Source organism: Homo sapiens, chromosome 4, assembly GCF_000001405.40.
Source record: "Homo sapiens chromosome 4, GRCh38.p14 Primary Assembly".
NCBI lineage: Eukaryota > Metazoa > Chordata > Mammalia > Primates > Hominidae > Homo > Homo sapiens.
Window position 1 is genome coordinate 146,241,075 of NC_000004.12, and position 22,788 is coordinate 146,263,862.

The 22,788-nt window shown below is 43.1% G+C and overlaps 1 protein-coding gene across 10 annotated transcripts in view, besides 2 other annotated features; it reads right to left on the reverse strand.

Annotated features, from left to right (window-relative positions):
- Positions 1-917: an enhancer, noted in NCBI's record as "H3K4me1 hESC enhancer chr4:147162227-147163143 (GRCh37/hg19 assembly coordinates)". NCBI's record gives its function as "activates a minimal SCP1, AML or CMV promoter by ChIP-STARR-seq in primed H9 embryonic stem cells {active_cell/tissue: H9 hESC(primed)}" and the evidence as "EXISTENCE:reporter gene assay evidence [ECO:0000049][PMID:30033119]".
- Positions 923-1,217: a silencer, noted in NCBI's record as "tiled region #13307; K562 Repressive DNase matched - State 12:CtcfO". NCBI's record gives its function as "represses a minimal TATA promoter and a strong SV40 promoter by Sharpr-MPRA in K562 cells {active_cell/tissue: K562}" and the evidence as "EXISTENCE:reporter gene assay evidence [ECO:0000049][PMID:27701403]".
- The window catches only part of SLC10A7 (solute carrier family 10 member 7), a 267,960-nt gene continuing 258,078 nt past the window's right edge, over positions 12,907-22,788 (reverse strand). For 4 of the 10 annotated variants that reach the window (XM_011532311.3, NM_001300842.3, XM_011532313.3 and 1 more), the window contains 3 exons: positions 17,618-17,763; positions 15,752-15,862; positions 12,907-15,446 (listed from right to left, as the gene is read on the reverse strand). In XM_011532311.3, the coding sequence (XP_011530613.1) occupies positions 15,779-15,862; positions 17,618-17,763 (230 nt within the window). In that variant the 3' untranslated portion in view covers positions 12,907-15,446; positions 15,752-15,778. The remainder of the gene's footprint in view (positions 15,447-15,751; positions 15,863-17,617; positions 17,764-22,788) is intronic. The other 6 variants (NR_133924.2, NM_001317816.2, NM_001029998.6 and 3 more) reach the window with 3 other exon arrangements.

The window sequence follows — 22,788 nt, forward strand, 5'->3', positions numbered from 1 at the left end:
TTGTTATTCATTATATTATTTTCCTTTATAGTCCCTGAAACGATACATTATTTGTATATTGTCTACTTTTTCACTAGACTGTAATTTCCATGAGGTTAGGAATCTTGTCTCTCTGGGTGGCCAGAGTCTAGAGCAATGCCTGCTACAGAGCAGGTGCTCAAAATGTATTTGTTGAATGGACACATAAATGAATGGTCGTTACTTAATTACTACTAGTAGTGGCAGTGGTTTACACAGTATCAGAACCAGCATAAACAGACACAACTTTGTCATCTTTGCAAAGCTCACCAGAAAGGATGATAATGATCAGAAGCCTTTCAAGTTTCCTCCTCACAGAATTCTGCCTGGGAACCTTTATTAAGGATGGCCGATTTCACCAGGCCTCCACCAGGAGGCCCTTTATGTCAAACTGAGCAGAGTGAATGTTTTATGATGTGGACAAGGGCTGCCTCAGAGCCTGAACTGGGGCCATCCGGGGGGGAGTGGGGTGGGGCCACACCCTCTCCCTGGGCTCTGCACCACTGAAAGGCTCCAGACGGCTCGGGCCCTGGGCCAAGCTGCTTGGTTCCAGTGGGAAAGCTGACCTTGGCCAGGAAGAACCAGGAAGAGGCACAAATGACTCATTGTCCCACATCCTCCAAGGTAAAAACCCAGCAGTGTGTGTGGCCTTTAGGGCTGGATGTTATTGCAGCCTTGGCTCCTTCCTCAGCCAAAATAAAAGCACTTGGCCAGTAACACATGCACAGCCTAGGATACAACCAACGGCTCTCTTCCATTGTTCTATTCGACACACTTCCCTGCACTTATAGTTTTAAAATATCGTACACATAACATTATGATTTCAGTTCTAAATGTAAACCATGATTTCTTTTTAAAGACGTATGGCAGCCTTCATTTCCAGTCAAGGCATGCGACATTTTAGGGTCCTGTGGAAGAAATGCGATATGCTTTCAGATCACGTGTGAAGGAGGTCTCACTGGTAAGTGCTTACTTTATGCAGAAGTTTGGAATCTAAGGCACTGATTTGTAAGATGTGCTGCTGCCTCCAGATTTCCACTAGAGGGCAGTCTTGGAAAATGTTTATAGATACATATTTTATTGCTATGTCTAGGAAATGTTTCTGTTTTTAAAAGGAACAAACAAACAAAAGCCCATGTAAAATTTAGGGCAAGCTCTTTGGCTCCACTTGGAACGATTCCTCATTCTTCCAGAAGGAAGCCGGGGAGCATGAAGGCAGCTGCTTCCCTCGTCTCCATCCCTTTGTCCACATGGGATGCAGCGGGCTGCCCAAGCTGTGAAGCTGGCCTGGGCGCCCAGATCCCCGCCTTCCCACACCCGCCTCGGGCCAGCCCTAGTGGGCAAGGAGAGGCACCTTGGAAAGGAATGCGGGGTCCTGATCTAGGGACCCCTGGTTTAAATTCGGCCTTGGCTGAGATCCTCTCCGTGGAGTCCCATCTTCTGCTCTTCCCTCACAAGCTAGCAGTGGCCGGAAATCCTCAGAAAAGAGCCAGGAAGGGTCAGAGGGGTGGCTGGGGAGTACACAATTAAAAATAGGCCTTCCAGGCAGGCAGCCATGGAGATCTCACTCGATATGTAAATAAGTGTAAATAAGACAGGCCAAGTCTTGGCGCTGGAAGGATACGGCACATTTTGTGCAGCCAGGGTTGTCTGGGGCAGTGGTAAGCACTCCCCCCGCCTTCTTTTTTTTTTTTTTTTTTTTTTCCACACAGCCCAATTTGAGGGGGGGGGGGAATATATATATATATTTCGGGAGGCTGAGGCAGGAGAATGGCGTGAACCCGGGGGGCGGAGCCTGCAGTGACCCGAGATTGCGCCACTGCACTCCAGCCTGGGCGACAGCGAGACTCAGTCTCAAAAAAAAAATATATATATATATTTTTTCACCCAAGAAGAAAATAGATATACTGAGTTCCATTGGTGGTGGTGGGAAGGAGAGATAATTCCTACAACTTGGATTTCTTACTTGATGAATAGAAAAATGTCAACAGAGAAATTATAACTACTTTGTAGCCACGACAACCTTATTTCTGGAGCATGTTTGATACACAGCACTCAACTTTCCTATCTCTGACATTTGTGTCACCCTTTAGAGTTTATATCACTGAGTCATGTGAGTGACCTCATTACATCCTGGAAACAGCCCTGTGTAGGTGTCATCATCATCAGCCCCATTGTAGAGAAGGACACCAAGACCCAGGAAGGAGGAGGGATTCCAACAGGGTCCCACAGCACTGGCGGTGGGGCTGGGGCTACAATCAGTTCACCTCTCCTACATCACGTTTTACTGAGCATCTGCTGTGCGCTGGACTCGCGGCTCGGTGTGAACAGGATGCTGCGTCTTGCATTTCCTCGGAAACAGGCTCTGTAAATGTCAAGGCAAGCCCTTTGGCTTCCCTTGGAACTACTCATTCTTGCAGAAGCTCAGCTAGAAGAGGAAGCTGGAGAGCGCGAAGGCAGCTGCCACCTCTTGCACGCGTGGGGGTCTCGGGGTAGCAGGGGCTGCTCTGTGCTGGGCTGGGCCAGTAGGGGGCGCCCTCCCTGGGAGCAGCAGGGCCTTCCAGAAGGCCAGGGCGGTCTCCGGCGCTCAGACCTCAGCCTGCCTCTCCGCCCCGCCCCTCTTGGGGGGCATCCCTTCTGTGCACGCCCACGTGTGAGCAGAGAAGCAACTCTCAGAAGCCTTCTGTGTGTTCAGGAAATGTGCGCGGGCGGCTTGTTCCCTTTTGCTCTGTCTAGGGTGAGCCTAGATGCTGCATCTCAAAGCAGACAGAGGGCTCTTTGGGAGAAGCCAGGTGTACCCGGAGGAGCCCTGAAGAGGTCCTCTGTGGCCTCAAGGCTAAGGCAGCAGAGAACGTGGGACAGGCAAACAGCAGGGGAGCCACAAGCTGTGCCCTGCAGACCGCTCCTCTTACTGGACTCCGTTCTGGGTTTTTCTCAATGAGCACGGGGCTGCTCCTGCTCGACCTGTCAGCGGAAGTGGCGCCATATGCTGGACCAGTGGCTGCGCATGCGGATGCGGAGCCTCGTCCATGACACTCACTGCGCGGGGAATCTGTATTCAAAACGTCTGGTGGATGTGAACAGCAGCAGATACAATAGGGGTTGTCTCTCTTTAATAATACCAGTGTGTTGGCCAGAGGGTGGGAACAGAAAAGATGCATCCGGGGAATTTGCGGACTTCTTTTGCCAGATTGCTTCAGAAAACCCTGAGGAGGGCAGTAAGAAAGCTGGGGAGGGGAGACAGGCAGGAGCAGAGGCCCTGGCCCTGCTGCCAGTGCTCCTGGGAGCCCTTCTGTGCGGCCCCCGTGCTCAGTTCATCTATACAGGGTGTGGGATGGAGCTCAGGTCAGGGGACCACTGGCTCCCATCCTAACCAGCACAGCGTAGTGGGTAGAGACAGGAGGAGAAAAGCGGTATCCCCGAGACAGAAACATGACAGTGAGCTCCCTGAGCTGACTCTTCACTCCTAGGGATTGCTTAGAAGTTTCCACCACACACCTCCGCCAGCTTCCCACAAGCCAGGTACCCGCAAGAGCTGTGGGAACCACCACTACACCCTCAGGGCCTGTCCACTATTCTGCCCACTGTACTCAGCAAAGGGGAAGATGCAGGCGGTCCCGTGCTGATCAAGGGAATCCCTGGACTGCAAACTCCCTGGGGACGGACCCAAACTGATGAGTGGGCTTGGCTGTCTAGACCCAGAGACCCTCGGGAGGACTGAATGTTTCTGGAATGATCCAGGATGGGGCATTCTGCAGCAATTCCCCTGAGGAATTACGTAGGACACCTCTGATGATGAAATTCTCCAAGGGCCAAGAATGAAATTGCAGAGTGCTGTCAGGTGTCACGGCCCCAGGGAAGGGGAGGGAGTTCGGAAATGTGGAGCTGAATAAAACCATGCTCTGGATTTGCTAGAACAACCCAGAGGTGGCTGAGTTCCTCCCACTGGGGGGTTATGGTAAGAAAAAAATGTACCCTGTAAGTGTTTGGAAGATACTTTTCTGAGGATGTGGGTGCACAGGAAGGAAAGAAGGGTCTTTTTAAACTTGCAGTGCCTTCAGATTGGTGGCTTAGATGGTTCTAGGAGGGAAGAAGAGAGAGGTCCCTAATGTGTCTCATTTGAAGAGTTTTTTGGTGAAGGTCAGTCTGCCCTGCCCTGCCTACCCTGTTCAGTAGCCCGAGCTTTCTGTGTGGACATAGCCAGCAACACAGCCCAGCCCAGCCCTGCCCAGCTGAGGTTTCTCTGGACTGTAAAGGAGTGAGCTCAGTCAAGGCATCACTGTGGAGTCTGAGATGAGCAGCATGACAGGACACTCCAGGACCAGGCAGGCGACTGTTGGCATGAATAGGCTGGCCCTCCTCACATGAGTGCTCTTGGTCAGAGCACTATGAGATCAGCTGTCCAGAGCCAAGCCGTCCTTATCTTGCCATATCAGCAAATATCAGCAAAGGGCCATATCATTGTGGCCCTTCTGGGAGGGAGGTTGTTTATTGAGGAATCAGATCCATGTGTGAGCTACCACTCCCTGCAGTCTGCAAGTCCAACCCTGTGCCTTTGGGCATCTCTAGGAAGGACTGAGTTACTGTGGGGTACTGGGTGGAAGGACTGGAAAGGTGAGGTGGACTCTGCCCCGAAGGTTCCTTTGGAAAGTAGTTTCCTTTATTATTACAGTGTTGAAAATTTTGAGGCACTTAAGTGATTGAACCCAATTTAGGGCCAAGGATAAAAATGTTCGCTGTAGATATTTTTCTGTTATGATTTTGGCTGACCTTATTTCAATGCTGCAGAATGAGATATTCTCAGTTGTTCCATTACCTCAAACTGCTTGTTAAACAATGTCTTCAGAAGGGGGAAAAAAACCCCAAAACTGGCTGATTAATAAAGTGCTCATGAAAGGGGTGAGATAAGGGAGCTGTCAGACCCACACACAGAGATGCCAAAATGTGGACTCAGCCCGACCTTGGAGACCTGCCTGACACTGTGTGACTTTTGCACGACTTCTCTGTCTCCACAGAGTCGAGATCTGCTTAGTGCCAAGTGTGATGTGGACACTTGCCTGCTGGATGGAGACAGAAACTCATTTCCCATCTGTCAAGCAGCCTGACACAGAGTTGGTAATGATTTTCTGTCAGGCGAGGCCTGGCTGGATTTGAACCCGTGACCCAGACGTAAAAGGGCCTGATGTAGGGCTCCCTTTACAATAACTGGCTGCCTGTACCTTGTTACTCCCAGCCCAGGACTCTCTCTCACATCTGCCCATGCTTTCTCCTCATGCAGCTGAAGTTTGGTTAGATCCTGACTTAGCACTGGGGCTAAGTGATTGATGTCCCTGGGCAAGCAGAAGATGCATTAGTGTCTTAGGGAATGGAAAATGAAAGGTGGAAGAAGAACGGGACGGTGGGACTGCAGTGTGATTAGCGTGTAGCCAAAAGCCATGTGCTCCTGTGAAGCCAGGGCCTGACCCTCTCAGGATCTGTGCAGCCTGTCGGCCAGCCAGACGGCTCCCATGCAAAGGCCACCAGGAGTGTGGGTCTGGAGTAATACTGAGTTTAGATTCTCCAGGTGTCAACTATTCTGGTGTTGAAATTGTCATCATTATTCATACTGATAGTTTTCATGAAAAAAGAGTCCCTTTCAGGGGCATCCATAGATGATTAACATGATGACCCCCGTTCACTGAATGATAATTAAGAGTCACACACCACTCTCCAAAAGCAGTGCTTCACAGGTGGAAAATATCTGTCCTCCAGAATCAGAAAAGCAAACTGGAGGGCCTTAAGGGTTAACTCATTATTAAACATTTATTGAAGTTCCTCCTAGCAGACAAGTGTTCTATCAGGGTTATAGACATAAGCAAAATGAGGCTCCCATTGAAGAAATTAATCATTTAGAGGGGAAGAGACATGTTGACAAAGAAAACCTGGTACAATCTGATAAGTGATATCAATAGCAAGTGAAGAAATTCAGTTGTCATTTGAAAATGAAGGCCTGTGTCTCACGATGGTGGGAAGCATTGAGAGAGCCTGGGAATTAGAGCAGAGGTAAAATGAAGGGAAGCACAGGTGTTGACCACATCAGAGACCCAGCTGGAATCTAGGCTTTCCCGCTTATAAGCTGTGGGACTTGGAACCTAGTCTCATGGGCCCTCCACATCCTAAGCTGTAAAATGGGAATAATTACACCAATGTCAAAAATTGCTGTAAGGATTAAATGGGTAAAGCATTTATCAGAGTGCCTGGCACATAGTAGGTGATTGATAACTGTCAGCAAAGGGCTTCATGAATTGGACAGGGGCAACACTGCAGGAAAAAAGAATAGCTGGGAAAGGTATTTTTAAGAAGGTGGTAGTGGGAAGCAGAAGATGTAGAGGAAAAAGGGGTTTTGCAGATGGAATCAATAGAATTTGGTGACTAACTGGATGTAAAAAGTGGGATGTGAAGGTTGAGGGGGAGGAGAGCCATGTGGTTGCTATGCCTACAGAGGAAGCTGGTGGAGAGGATGGAACATAGGGAAAGAAAGAAGTTATTGAATTTTCACTCAGGGCATGTGGGGTTAGAGGTGCCTGAAGATGCCCAAGTGGGAACATTCGGAATGCAATTAAAAATATGAGCTCAGGGCAACAGATTTGGGAGGTCTTGCCGGTTTACAGAAAGTGGCTGACATATGCAAATGGCTCAGATGTTCCCATTGGGAGAACACAGGGTATGGGAAGAAGGATCTGAGACCCGATTTTCTGGAAATGGGAACACTAAAAGGGTTAGTAGAAAAGGGGGCCTGGAAGGGTACAGCCAGCCACTCCTGGGTTATGGTGGCAACTGATGGAGTGGAAAGGTGACAATTCATCTTGGACACAATTAGAGCAGGAGGTGCAGCCCTCTGGGAGGGCCGTGACCACCAAGCAACTGCCCTAGGAGCAGCCCCAGAGTTGGAGCTCCTCTCTGACAGGTGTTAGGCAATTGGAGTCAATGAGGGTAGCTCTGTCTGTCAGCCGCATTGCCAGATGGTTCTCAGCTGGACTCAGCGCATTTGGAGGAGTTGGGCAAAATCTCTACTTGGTGTTCTTTGCAGTAGGTAGGAAAAGGCAAGCAGCAACAGTGGGCCTGGAGGACCTTTCAATACGCACTTGCCCCTTTGTGTTCTTGGGGAGGCCTGCTGGAAGCCAGGGAGGCCTGTTGCTACAGCCATCTTAAAATCCAGAATCCAGTGTCTTCATTAACTAATGAAGTAGACACTCACACCTTGGTCACTTCCTGACTTGATTAGTAATGTTTAATGGGCACCATAATAGATCTTTTGCATAGATTAGAAGTCATGCAGAATAGAGCCTGACATGTGCCAACACACTTCGACTCCACACACCCAATATGGTTTGCCCATCCATTGTTGAATAACAATCATAGCTGGCACTCATTGAGTTCTTGCCAGGCACGGTAACAAGCTGTTTGCTGGAATTATCTCATTCGACCCTAATAACAACCCTATGATGTTACATAATTCTCACATTGGCTTCATAAGAAGATAAGTGAACTCTTCAAGTGACAGTTTGCTTCTTCTTCAGCATGCACAAGACTTCTCAGGCGTGGACAGATTAGCTGCTAAGAGGGAGGGGGATTGTCAGAATGCACCACACATGAGACAACAATAGCAGTGGGGCCCAGAGTTGGAAGTCTTGGTAAACATTTATTTGTGGAAAAGAAACTGAGTAAGTTCTAGCCATGTTGGCAAAACCAGCCCAGGAGACCACACTGACAGCAGTGCTCTCTGTGAGCACACAGAATCAGAGTCCAGACTTCCAGCAATGAGCACAAGTCAACATCGTTACAAAAATTTCAAGTTTAGAATAGCAGATAATAAGGAAATGACCCATTTCTAGGGTGGAGGGCAGGGTCCATTTCCTCATCATGTTGTCTTTTACTACCAGTGAACTCTGAGACCTGGTATATATGTCAGAAACCCAAGGCTCTTTCCTTCCAACTGTCTGGAATTTCTGAGTTGTAGGGCTTTTGACTCACTCCACATGAAGACAGAACATCCTGTATTAAAACTTTCATTGAGGGCCGGGCGCAGCGGCTCACGCCTGTAATCCCAGCACTTTGGGAGGCCGAGGCGGGCGGATCACGAGGTCAGGAAATTGAGACCATCCTGGCTAACACGGTGAAACCCCGTCTCTACTAAAAATACAAAAAATTAGCCGGGCGCGGTGGCGGGTGCCTGTAGTCCCAGCTACTCGGGAGGCTGAGGCAGGAGAATGACATGAACCCGGGAGGGGCAGCTTGCAGTGAGCAGAGATTGCGCCACTGCACTCCAGCCTTTGCAGAGCTCAAGAAGTTCAGAATCATTGCGACTTTCCAGAATTTTAGCACATGAGAAAACAAGATCTTCCAAGAACTATGAGGTTTTTGGGCTGTCATGGAGTCTACTTAGTGGTTAGACATGTGGGCTCTTGGAGTCAGGAAAAGTTGAATTTGAATCCCAACTCCACCACTAAAAGAGTTGTGAGGCTTGCATTCCCTGCTTACTGTTTGGTCTCAGTTTCCTTACCTGTTCAATGCAGATAATAATGGTACGTATCCTACTAGGGTTGTTGAAAGAATTAAATGAAAAATTCGAGTAAAAAATTTAGTACTGGCCTGTCGTGTAGAGGTATGCTGGGGTTGGCTGTACCAGCTTGTGAGAGCCAATGGTGCACATCTCTTCCTAACTCTGCCTTCGGTGCTGGTAGCTTGAAACCAGCCCAGTCAGGAGCATTTATACTCCAGCAATTGGCAAGTGCTGCAAATCAGAGCAACTAGTATGAATTGTAGCAACTATCGTTACAATCCCCCATTCCATCTGAATATGTATTAACTTATATTTGGATGTAATGGTTTGAGAATGAATTCCATGTTCTGTGGGAAGTATTCTCTCCCCAAGATTTCCAGGAGCTTCCATTCTTCTGATCATCTCATGCACAGAATTCCTGCCTATGACTTGGTGTCTTTATTACTGGAATGCTTGCTTCCTGTCCTCTATATACCCTCTTGGTGGATGCTGAACGTTTTACTTCATTTTCTCCCAAATGAACAAAAAGCTCTGATGTAAGGCAGATTTTCACTAAAGTTTTTTTTTTTTTTTTTGAGTGGGGAGGAAGGGAGGGGACACACGTGTTTTAGAACTGCAAAAAGTGCAAATAACTTAAACTAACAATGCTGCTGCTGATAGCAACCACTGCCATTGCCACCACCGTCACCACTCACACAGGTCACTAAGTATGTGCCAGGCCTGCTCCTAAATGCTCTGCGTGTATTGATGTATTTAGTCGCTGTCTTCAGGAGGCCCTTGCCATTACTGCCATCAGACATTTCTGTGTCTTTCCTCCTCAGTCTTCAGCCATACTGCTAAAAAGTCTACTGCTAAAAGCTTCTATTTCTCTTTTTTCTTCTCTTCTCTCCATTCTTGAACGTCTCAGCCCTTCTTTCCGTGCTGTCTACTCTCACCCCAAGTTCCCCTCACATCACTTTGTAGAACAATTTGATTCTTGTCTTGCCTTCACCCACCTAGGTTGTGCTTAAGCCTTCCTCTTTCTTTCTCATGATGAAAAAGAGGTTTTTCTTGACAAACGTCCAATAGCCTAGACATGACTTATGCTGTTCCCTCAAGAAGAAGGACAGGTCGCACCAGTTTGTGTTACATGCTTATTATAAGCCCTCCAAAATGTGATCAAAGTAAAATGTAAAATTATACACCACCTCTGCATTTCTACTTCCTTGAAGTAAACACTGTGAAATATAGTCTAAAAATGGTTAAAATGCTCCTACTTAATAATTTTGTGGCTTTGGGCAAGCTACTTAGTCTGTGATTCAGTCTTGTCATCTATAAAACAGGGTTAATATTACCTACGTCATAAGGTTGGTGAGGGTAAAATGAGATAATGTTCAGTGCCTGGAAAAGTACTAGGGATAAAGGAAGAGCTCAATAAATGGTAGTTATAATTATCCTTCCAAATGTTTTTTAAGCATGTAGTGTCCCTACAGATATGTAACATTTTAGTTAATGAAAATATCGGATCTGTAAAAATAGGATCAAAAATGCATATTTTTTCCTGAAATGTACTTTTTCCTCCCCCTCAACAAAATACTGCTATTCCAAGGCAGTCTACCCTCACTCCTTTAAATTGGTCCAAATGTTCTAAAGAAGGCACCATTGATTATTTAAACGCTTCCCTGATTCGGGGAATTTGGGTGTTCTTTGTGGTCTTACCAATACTCCGAACACATCCTTGTCAGTGGACTCTTGTGCACTTATTTCTGCAGGGTAGACTCCCAGAAATGCAAGAGTTGGGTTGAAGGGCACATATATTTAAGCTTTGGATAGTAGTGTTAAATAGCCCACCACAAATTCCATCTCATTTACACTCCCACTACAGGGCAGAAGTGCCCTGCCCCACACTCTGTCAGTATTTGAATATTATGAAACTTTAAACTTTTTGTCAATCTTTTTCATGGGTGAAAAATAGTATCTCATTTAAATGTACATTTCCCTGATCCATGGTAAGTTTGAATATTCTAAAATGTCTATTATTCGTTTTTATTTTGTCTTCTATAAATTAGCCATTTATATCATTTGCTTGTTTTCTACTGTACTTAAAAGTCAAATACTCCCTTCTCTCTCCCTGACATTTAGGGAACAGCTTTTCCAGGACATACCTGAATCCTCATATTGCCTCATTCCAAGTTCAGAAATGTGAGCTCACCTAAATGAGAGGGAAGTAGAAGTGATGATGCTTGTCAGGTTATATAGCCATCTCGGGGAATATGGCTTTTTAAAGCTTCCCATGGCCATTGCAAGTAGATCTTAGGGCACATTTGGAAAGTTAGAGAATGAACAGAGCTAGCTGCATTTCTGTGAATTTTGGGATTGGGGAGAGAAGAGAAAAGAAGGGAGGTGGGCGGGGAGAGCAGGTAACAGGGCAGGTAGATGGAGCCTTTGGGGAGGGAGGGGTGGTCAGTGAGAAATTCCAGATGGCTGGTGGCTGGCAGATGGGCAGGAACAGGATGTACAGTAGTCATTTAAGTTTGCACATCCCCAGGCCGGGCGTGGTGGCTCATGCCTATAAACCTAGCACTTTGGGAGGCCGAGGTGGGCAGAGTGCCTGAGCTCAGAAGTTCGAGACTGGCCTGGGCAACATGATGAAATCCCATCTCTACTAAAAATACAAAAACTTAGCCAGGCTTGGTGGCAAGTGCCTGTAATCCCAGCTACTTGGGAGGCTGAGGCAGGAGATCGCTTGAACCTGGGAGGCAGAGGTTGCAATGAGCTGAGATCACGCCTCTGCACTCCAGCCTGGGTGACAAGAGCGAGACTCCATATCAAGAAAAAAAGAAAAAAGTTTGTACATCCCCAGACTTTCAGTGTGTTGAGACTTCTGTAGTGATCAAGTAACTGGAGCTGAATTCCATGTCTGGGTGGATGAAGTTCACAGAAGAGAACAGCCATGGCGTTTGAGATGCCGGAGAGTTCAGAAGTGGGTGGAGATCTGGGAGAGCCCGTTTCAGGTGATTTGGATGAGGACCCTATGATCCAGCATGACCCTGTGATTTCAGTGCCTTTGTTTGCACTCGTGTTGACAACCACACCGCACCCTGCTAGAGTGACAGTGTTCAATGTTTAATACAGAGTTTCTCATAATCAGGTTTGAAGAGAAGTTCTCCAGAGTCTACAAAATTTTTTTCCCTTTAAATGGGTTTTGCATTTTACTCACATTTGAGAAAAACTGTCCTATAGTGCAACTAAGATTTGTTAAAGAAAGTCTTATAAGACCTTTCATATATTGCCTGTATACAAACTGACGATGATAATTTTTATCTAGTTTTTAAAGTAAGTACATCAGAATTTCTATAAGGAAATCTTTTATTTTTTATGTATATAAAGCTTTCATCAATTCAGATCGATCTAACTTGATTTAGCTTAAATTACTGAGGGTCTATTGTTCTGTCAAGGCATGCAAGATGAAAGTTGCTTGCATATCATACCTGCAGTCTTGCCTTGGAGAGTTAATATTTACACAGCTATGAAGTAATATATTCCTATGAGGAGCACAAGGCAGTGCTTCACAGTTTATTCACAATAGGAATTGTAGTAAAAGAGTCAGTTTTCCTTATAAATTAATAATGACCCGATATAGAGAAGAGTGCTTGTAATTGTGAAGGTTCATGTCCTACCTATTAAGATCACAATTTGAAAAGTCAATACACATTTTTTGGCTACTACTTTGAGCCAGGCATTGTGCGAGGCACAGTAGAAAAACAGAAATGTTTACTGCACTGGAGGAGACAGCAATATAAACTAATGATTAAACTATGCAGAGGTTTCAGAAGACTTGAGGGACACGTTGTAAGGACATGTCAAAGGACGCAAGTATGGCACTGGCTTGGGAAGTCTTCATGGAGGAGGTGACATTTTTGTCAGGCTTCCAGGGGAAGAGGATTTCTATGCCAAGAAGACAGCAAAGACAAGAACACAAAGGTATGAAATTCTATACAAGGTAGCTTGCTCATCAAAGAAACACTGGTGTTGGGAATGGCATTCTAAGGTTTATCATTCCTATTTCTCAAAACTGAAATTCAGATCACTTACATTTTGTCCCTTCTGCTGCATATGTTTTCCTTTTGGTCCTAAACCTTGATGCAGAGAAAATATCTCTCATAAAAAGGCAAGGGCTACCTCTAGATTTTAACATCATGGTGTGGTGGAGGTACCCATAGAAATACCCGGGAGACTATGAAGTTTACATCTATATAACGACAAATGACATAACGGTGCAGAAATGAATCAAGAGAAATCTAAAGACACTTAGAAGGCATCACAAGGCCATCTGAAATCAGGTTAAAAATAAGCCACAGTTTCTCTTGTGATTTCTGAAACATTCTTTGTTTAATCATATAATTATTTTCATCTTCCAGTCATCATAAATAATCCACTTTATGACTTAACCAATCCTTTTGAAAAAATTTGGTATTTAGCACAAACACTGAACATTAGCTAGAGGTGTGTTAATTTTTAACAGAATAGGGAAAAATTTTAAAAAACCCACAAAAATTTTAATACTAAGAAAAAACATGAAAATACCAACATTATTACCCATTAAAAAATCTAATTTTGTAACAACCATTAAAAAAAATCCAGGTGGAAAAATGAGTAAACATAAATATAATCTAATGTATTTCTTTCATAAATACATTTAGACAAAACAAATGCATAAAACAGATAGCTTTACAGTGTATAAACATAACAAAATATTTTAAGCTCTGAATAATTAAATCCCAATAAGCATGAATTAAAAATAAATTTTGATTTTATTTTTTGTTCTTTATGAAAAAATATGCCAAGGAATTTGTGTAAAAAAAAGAAATAGGCATAAACATATCACTAACGCCACCAAAGTTCACTATGTAAAGATTATTTGAAAACAAAGCACATTTTTAAAGCAAACGATAAAATGTTATCATAGCATTTTCAGTTGAATTTTATCCCATGATCACACCTACTATAGGTGTTAGACAATAGAGGTAGATAAGTTGGGGGCGGGGATCAGTATTTTAATGTTAGGGAGAAAGATTTTTATGATAGGGCAGATAGATGACAGACAGACAGACACTTCCATTTACTCCAAAATTCAAAGAAACTTGTAGGAACAAAACCTAAGAGCCTTCCTGTGCTCCATAGGTAAGCACAATTACCTAAGCAAAATTACTGTAGTTTTAGACACAAGTAAAATTCTTTATAACAGTGTGTACTACAGCCTGGTTAGCATAGATTTTTGCAGGATCTGGCATTAGCCTTAAAATTCACACTGAGAATAACTCTTATGAAATTTATTCAATGACATTGACAAAAGATGAGACCTGGTAGTAACAATAATATAAATTTACACAGTAGATAAACTTGGTGAGTTTCTAAGGAATGATTTTTTGTTGTGGGCATAATAACGAAACAACAAAAACAGCTGCTGAGGACATAGCACGGCCTCAGTGAGACCCAGGATGCCAATATTGTCTATCAAATCAAGAGAGGACGTGTAAGAGGATGTGACAGGACGGCATGGGGGAAACACAGAAAAGTGTTCTCGTAGTTCTATACGTGGCTTCATTCTCTACTTGGGTCCAGTTACAGTTCTTGCAGCTATAGCAGAAGCAAATATTGGACACTCATTTGAAAGCTGCTGCCCCGTTGGGAACTAATTTTACTTGATATTTTGGTTATTAAATGGTTTTGCATGTTCTTTTCATCTGGAGAGACAGAATGTGTATATGTAACATTTGTTTGCATCCATGACCTTTATATTTTCATTTATTCATGAAAGCAATATGATTTAACTTCTAAAAAAATATTGCCAACATTTGTCAAATCTGCCAAGGAAATTTTCATTAATAAATTGTCTCAAATACCTTAAGTGTGCTTAATTCCAGGATGTAACAGGCTGCTTTTGGCCAACAGGGGCAATCTGGAAAGTGCTCAGCACATCTGCGTAATAGGAAAAAAATTTGGTCTGGGTTGTGGAATGTGAATAGAATCTACCATTAATTGATGCTGCTTTCAAACTGATTGTAACATTTTTGTGCCTCATATTTGGCTGTTATGAGTGTGTAAGTGCAAGACAGAAATTATTGAATAAAGAGGAAGAAGATATTAAGATATATTTTAAAGACCCTGAAAATCAAATCACAGAGTTTAACTCAAAATTTCACATGATTTCACTCATAATTCAAACATTCAGACCCTTTCTTTGAAGCAGCTTATAATAAATTTAAGACATATAACCACAATCTCTCATAATGGGAGTGAGGAATTTCTGTGTGGAAACTATTTGAAGGAATGTCTTTAAAAATGATGTCAAGGAATGCATATATCTTACGCTTTTCAGCATCTATTCGATCTATGACCCCTGCTGAGTTGATAAGGAAGAGGCATGTCACAGTCGTAGAAAAAAAGAATCACACAGTAAATCAAAGTATGCATGAATAAGACTTTGGAAATTTTCACTGTCATCAGAAGGGCATTTTCCTGATGGTGTGACCTCATTTCAAACATTACAGTAACTACTATAGGGTTGTATTGCACAAAGGTGCTGCAGGGAAAGCATGTTTGCTTTTTGTCACTTACCATGACTGATTCCTGCATTAGGAAAGCAAAATTAACCCCCAAATATTGTACCACCCCTGGCAGTAATCAACAAAGCATATTTTGGAAATAACGCTCTTGTCAAATACATTTTAAGGCACTTAAACAGGATCTCATATTTTTGTGTAAAAAAATAAAATATGCATTGAGGCAACATTCACAAGTACAAGTCTTCAGAATTGCTAGTATGTACAATCCTGTACATATATACATTGCTACAGAAAGTCCACCTCCTTTGTTATACTGTCGGCCTTGTCAGCTTCACTCCCTACAAGGAAGGAAAACATGTTCAGAGTTGGACAGTATCCATGAGGAAAGTGAAAGCATCAATTAACACCAGATAATTTATGCTATTAGAAGGAAGAAGAGGCCCACCCAGATGGCATCATATAACCAATAATCCAAACCTCTGGATACAAACAGATTTCCCTGCCCACCTCTCTGGCCAGCAGACTTTGTCATTTCCCCTCCCACACCTGGCCTGGCTACTCGTATGGTTCCCCTGTGCACTAGATGGTAGCCTTGGGTCTCAATCAGTACTGTGTGCAAAGCAGAGGAGGCACTCATGGATACCTGGAGGATGGACTCTTGGTATTTATTTTAATGCCCAAATTTGATGGATAGATATTCCAAGCCTTCTGGATTATTCAAGTTAGCCAGTGGCCCCCTGGTTTGGAGTAGTTTCTACACAAAGGAAAAATGAACAACAGTGTACAATTTAGTCTCCCTTTTGGAAATGCTTCTGTTATTCTACAGAACAAATTCTAGAGCTTTTAAATGTTTGGAAGAAAAATTCACTCTGATTAATTTGCTGTTCACTATGGCTGTATAATATTGATGAGTATTAGGATTTTCAAATAATTTTCTTCATTCTTTGTCAAAATTTACATGTACAAATTCTGACTGACAATTGCACACATATTGATAAACATAAGCATAAATAGAAATAGAAAATTTCAAAGGGGATAAACAGTAAAAGAAAGAAAAAGTTACTGAACTGTTCCACAACCAACTCCGAGTAGGAGGCTCAGAGCCTGGAGTGGTACCCAGCATAGAAGAGGAATCTTTTTTATGTTAACATTTTGTTAAATAACTGAATTAGTGAACATGTTGGATGGGCTGAACTTCTCAGGTAGGATCCTGGGTGCCTAGGGCAAACCTTCTAAAAGTGATGTTACATTTCTATCTGGAGTGTCATCACCGTGTTGGGTAAAGATTTTGGGGGTCAAATAGCCCAGTGTTCAGGTCCTAACTCCAGCACTGGCTGAACTACCCTATGGTCTCAGGCCAGCTGCTCAACTCCCTGAGCCCATTTCCTAACCCATAAAATGGAGAGAGCAAAGCCTGCAGTGAACATCATTGTAGATAATGATGAACAATGATGATAATAATTATGGCAGCTAGCATTATCAAACACTCATCACGTAATCCTCTACAACCCTAGGGTGTAGATATTATCATTAGTCAGCAGAAACTGAGCTACAGAGAAGTAAAGTATGCCCCAGGTTACAGGATGAGAAGGCCAGCAGCCTGAGCTCTGAGCCCAGGCAGGCTGGCCCAAGATCCATCCTTTGAACCAGGTAGAGGATAGGATGTGCTTAGCACACACAGTGCTCAATAGGTGGTACTGTGGCCATCCTATTTTCAGGATATTAAGAACATGACACAGGGCACTTGTCATTGGATACCTCTTCTTCCCACACATCTCCTGATAACAGTCACTACTTTGTGAATAGACAAAAATAAGTCCTGGTATGTCCAAATCACTGGGAAGGAGTCAGTTCTATCAATGCTACCACGTGATATGCACCATCTAAACTTCTTGTGAATCACCTGGTTTACTTATTTTGTTGATAATTTAGGAAATGAAATCCACAAATATCTAATGTGTACAAGATTCTAAGTGTGGTGAAATTAACATTGCATGGACTTCTTAGCTACTTAAAGTTTATTTTTTAATGCCCAAATGCAGTTTTGCTGTACAAATAGGTTATTATATATCTGGAAAATTAAAAATAAAGTAGGCAACCTGGATAATGCCAGGTTCTATCTTATTTGGAAAGGCATGTGAAGTAAGACATAGATGAAAGACTGAGGCAAAGATGGTATGCACCAGAGTGGAGCAGGTATCTATTTGGAGTATATTTACTGAACCTTTACCCCATATAATATGCCCTTCAATATGAATGAATTCAAAAGAGCTTGTAAAAACTGCATGTTAAGTATAATTGTCTTTTATAACAATTTAAAATCTTTAACCTCAACCCTCCTGTTCAAATTGGAATGGATCAGTGCACCATTATTATTGTATTTAAGTAAGAAAATATGTACTTGAAAACAAAGATATGCAAGCAAAATCGAAAGTGTATGAACAGTTCAGATTCAGGAACAGCATTTTAATCTAACTTGGATCCAAATAAGATCTTTCTGGGGACTCACCTTCTGCCTTGATACCATCCAAGACTTGATTGTTGGCACCAACACACTTCCCAGAAGGATCTGAGCTGGGTGGTAGATGAGCAAGGGTACAGATATTAAAGAGAGATGCTCATGGCCTGCAAACACGATCTTCAGCATCGGAATTCCTGTTGAACAAAGAAGACAGAAAACCTAAACCAAATTCAGTCTGTCATCAAATTAAATGCATACTCCATCAAAATCAGAACTTTGGAATAGGTTATTACCATATTTTCTCATGTTTATTCACAGAACTGAAATGGGAAAGTCTGAAATGGGTCACCAAAACTTTCCATCTTTCTTTCATGACATAAAGTTCTAACTAGGATAAGGTGGAAAGATGGTCAGTATTCGAGGGTACCAATAATTCTCACGGCAAATTAGAAGCTTATCTAACAAGGAGAGGAGAGAAGATTGCGTGTGATGGAGTTGCTTTAAGAAGGCTGAAAAATATTGGTGAGGGAGATGCTAAAAATGGATCTCTTCTTGCTTAGTAGTGAGATAGTCTGTTGGTCTTTAGGGAGGCCTGCTTGGCACCAGTTCAAAGTCCCAAAGCTTGCTTTTGAGAGTAAAAAAATACGGTAAGATCATGTATGGTATACACTGCTATAAGTAGGAAGGCATTTTAGTCAACTGGACCTTAAAGGATTTGTATGTTCCCTTTCAGCCAAGGATCTTAAAGTGCTTTACGATCATTAGGTAAGGGTCATACAGATTGGTCTATGGAAGATGAATACAAAAATTAGCCAGGCATGGTGGTGCACACCTGTAGTCTCAGCTACTCAGGAGGCTGAGGCAGAAGAATCGCTTGAACCTGGGAGGTGGAGGTTGCAGTGAGCTGAGATTGCATCACTGCACTCCAGCCTAGGTGACAGAGTGAGACCCTGTCTCGAAAATCAGGGCTGAATGTTTAAACTCCACAGTGAATGTCTTCATGGAACTCAAATGAATACTACTTCATGAGTCTACTATTCTATTATACCAAGAGCTGGGTGTGTATATTTTATAAGCTGCTGCCTATAGAGCATAATTTTTGAGCTTCTATAACTAACACAATTCAGACACTAGCAGTCTAACTATTATTACTAATTGTTTTAATGCAGCCACAGTCTTCAGAAGTGCTATGTATGTATCAGCTTCTTCAACTGAATAGCTTTAATAGCCTAGCTTTCTTGTTTCTCTGATAACAGCCTCTGAAAAGGACCTAAGCTCCTAACCATGTACAATGATGGCACATAAATAACTTTTTATTAGAACACAACAAGGAAGGCTTAGCTTTTTCAATTATTTTTACCTTCTAATAAATTTCAAACCTTTATGCACAAAATGTGTTTCATGGTTACTTTCTTTTTCACAGCCTCACATATCATTGCCATAAACTGAAAACACTTAACTCTTCCCAAACATAGTCTCTGAGAGCTTCTAAAGTACATGCTTAGATTTTTTGCAGTTTCTGTCTTTATACTAACATAAAAAATGAAGGGCCTTTTTTTAAAAAAAAGCTTTAAAAATCTACTGCTGAAAAGCAGCATCTGATACTATAGTTTTGAAAAGCTGTTACAATGAGAAAATAAAATCTGAACACAACTCCTCCTGTTTCCAAGAAACGTTATTCATTCCTTGGCCCAAAGAGGTGATGCTAAGACATTGGGGGATGGGAGTGGAGTAAATGTGAGGCTAAAGGGAGCAAGTGATAGAAGTATCATGATATTTTGTCCCTAAAAATGACCAGAGCAGGATTTGCTAACCCCAGATTTGAGGACTGAGGCTGCTGGGCTAAACCACCTATGTTGTCCATTCTTAGCTAAGAATCTGGGCTCTGTGTCATTCAGTCTTCAGCAAGCTTAAGTGATCTCAGAAGGGAAGCCATAGAGATAGTCCCAGATGCTGCTGCTACAATAAGTAAACAAAAAGTTCTATTGATGAGGAAACTGAAGCACCTAGTGGTCAGGAAAATTTCTTAGTGGTAGGCTCTAAACTGCGACTCAGGCAACCTGAATTTCCAGTTCTCCATATCAGGTAAGGTCAGTTCCAGATGCCATGGGCACTGCAGCTGCTGTGAAAAGGGAGAGGGCCTGGCATGCAAAACACTTTCAAGTCCAGCTGTCCTTTTGGAACTCATTCTCCTTGAAGACCTCCCAGAAGCACTTCCAGGGGCAGTATGGTGTCAAACTCCCGTGCTCGCCACACCAGGACGTCCCTGTGATTTCAAATATGTCAAAAGCAACTGCTAGGGCTACCCCAATAGTGGCAAGGAAGCCATGGATTCAAAGACATAGCTTTGATCCTCAAGAAGCTGAAGGTGGACAAATGATCTCTCCCTTCTTTGGACCCTAATGTCAAGTTTTAGGAAGTTCTCTTCCGGCCATTGCTGGTTCTTCAGCTCTTATCTCTCTCCTTCAAACACACCCTTCTCTCCACTGCTCTTGCAAGGAAGCTGGGACTCTGCAAACACCTGTCCTTCTGGTCAGCTGCTCCTTGCAAGGGGCCCCAGAGGAAGGCTGGAGGAGGAGGAGGAATTTCTTTCTAGTCTGGGCTTCCTGCCAGGCCCCTTCACCAGTGCAGGGGTACTTGGCTCCAGCCTATAACTCATCATGCCCCTGAGGGCCACAGCACCAGCGGGGCAGTGCCCCTTCTCAGATGTCTGAGAACCTGCTCTGCTGCCTCTCTCCAAGCTTCTAGGTTCTGAAAATTCTAACTTCTTCCCTTTGCCCCCCCAGCTCCAGCTACTTTCTGCATTTATTTGTCTTGTTCCCTCACTGTTGCCATTTCCCTTTTCAGCTTTCCAACACTATTTAATCAATTCCCTGTATTCAAAGGGTGATTTCTGCTTTCCTGACGGACCCTGGTTGCCCTCTTCTTACTCTGCCTTGTATAACAGTCATTCCCTTTGCTTGAAAAAGAGAAGGGATCCACGATCACTTGCAGCTGCGGCCAAAATTTGTCAAATTAAATAGGAATTTCCCCCTACCACTTTATGTGCCTGCAATATCTTCTTGCTAGTCATTAATCAAATTTCCTATCTCTACCCCCACAAGTGAATAATGTTAAAAATATGTTTGAAAATAATATATCAGAGAAAAAAATAGCTCCCAGAGGTCATGGTCCAAGTCTCTTTCATGTACCCTCTCTATGCCACTCTCACATGGTGGATTCACAAGTCAATCACTCGCCAGGGGGAGGCCCACTCCAGCGACTCGAGTCATATGTTACTTGTTTTAGGAAACTTTATTTTATTTCAGACAATGCATGTCTGAAAGATGCTAGAAGGCCCATATTGTAAATGGATTCTTTTTCTGACTAACTTCCACCAAAAGCATTTCCCCCACTGCTCTATGGACTTAAAATTTTCCTTTTCAATCATTCAATTATCTACTTTCCTTTTCAATTATTAGAGTTTCTTCTAAATCTATTTATCTCAACCTTTTCTTTCCTTGCTTTCTTTCAACCTCTCCCCCACTTCTCCTCCCTGCAATCCCAAGCATCTACTTAGTACATCTTCAGTTTCTCCAAGGTCAGAATAGAAAGAGAAGTTGGGATAAGCAGAGTGAGAGTTAACACTTCCCATGTTCGAGTTTCCATGCTATGGTGGCGATCATTTGGAAGTGGTGAGCTCAATATCTCTTCTCTAAGGCATCTTTGCTGTTAGCAGCACTATCTGGACAACAACTGGAAACTTGGGGGTCATCTCAATTGTTGAGAGAGGTTGAGAACCTGCTAAAAGCCACTGCACTTACCACACTGTGATTTCTGTCAGCTGGCCAAGAATTCGGCAACATTTGCTCTTCACATCAAATCAGAGAAAATCAGCTGCATCTCTTATTCCAGAAGACTATGTAACGCACCACTCTTTTGTCCTCATCACTCACTTGCTTACTAATCCACTTGCTCACTGATTTATTCAATTAGAACTCATGTAACTGATCAAGTACTCTGTAGAAGGGCTAGGAATCCTGGGAAGCGTGATTTGACCTAACCCTGCATTTCCATAACTTACTGGGCACATGGGTGACCACTCACACCTCCATCCCCCTCACCTTCGTTTAAGAGCACCTCTTCCACAGTCTCGAACCAGTCTCTCTGCCTTCAGAGTTGTCCTGTCCAAGCCATTTTCTACTCTGTGACCAGAGTGAACATTCTAAAGTGCAAATCTGATCGTGTCACATCACGCAGAAGTGTATCACACAGGAGAGATCCCTAAGTGTGGCATAAGAGCATAAGAGGACTTCATGACTTGCCCCAAGCTTTTGCTCTTTTTCACTCTAAATCTCACTACTTCTCTGCTCTTTGACCTGGGCGCTCCAGCCATGATGGGCACCTTGTGGTCCTCCCACCCATCCTTGGCCACGTGCCATTCTCTGTCTTGCCCCTAGGCTTTGCACCTGAGCTCTTTCTGCCTAGAATGCTCATCACCCATTCATGACCCACCCAACTCCTCTGTATCCTTTAGCTCTCAGTTCTTAGGTTGCCTCCTCTGGGAAGCCATCCTCAGAGTCCCAAGGTGGCCTTTAGATCCTTTCCACTCCATGCTTACCTACGCCAGGGCATTCCAGCCTCACCTTCGCTACCCTTATTATCATTGCCTGCTTCTTGTGCATTTCCTTTACCAAGCTGTAAGCTTCTTAGGGTCAGCAACAGTTTCTTCTTCATTGTTGAGCATATGGTAGGTGGTCAAAAGGAGTGTGTTGAATGAATGAACTTGTATTTTTCCAGATTCTGTCATAAAGTTATTGTGCAGACTATCACTCCATTTTTACTACATTTGTTAATTAGAAAAAAAAAGTAATAATTAAAAAACCCAAACAAACTTACTAGAAAGAGTTTTCCTTTTAAAGTAAAATTTAAATATAGGACTCTTTTCATCTTGCTATCACTGCGGTAATATAAATGAAGCAAATTAATTTTAATGCTCCCAGGTACTGATTCTGTGTCACCATGGTTGACAGGATTCAACTAGACTTTATGAGATGGCATTTGACTTTATGGAAGTGAACACTATGCACGCATTTACAATTTTACAGGGACTTTAAGCTGTCATGCTGAAAAATGTTTATAAAACATTAATCAAAAAATGCCTCTTTAATACAATGCATTGTCTGAAAGATGTTAGAAGGCACATATTGTAAATGGATTCTTTTTCTGACTAAAGTAAT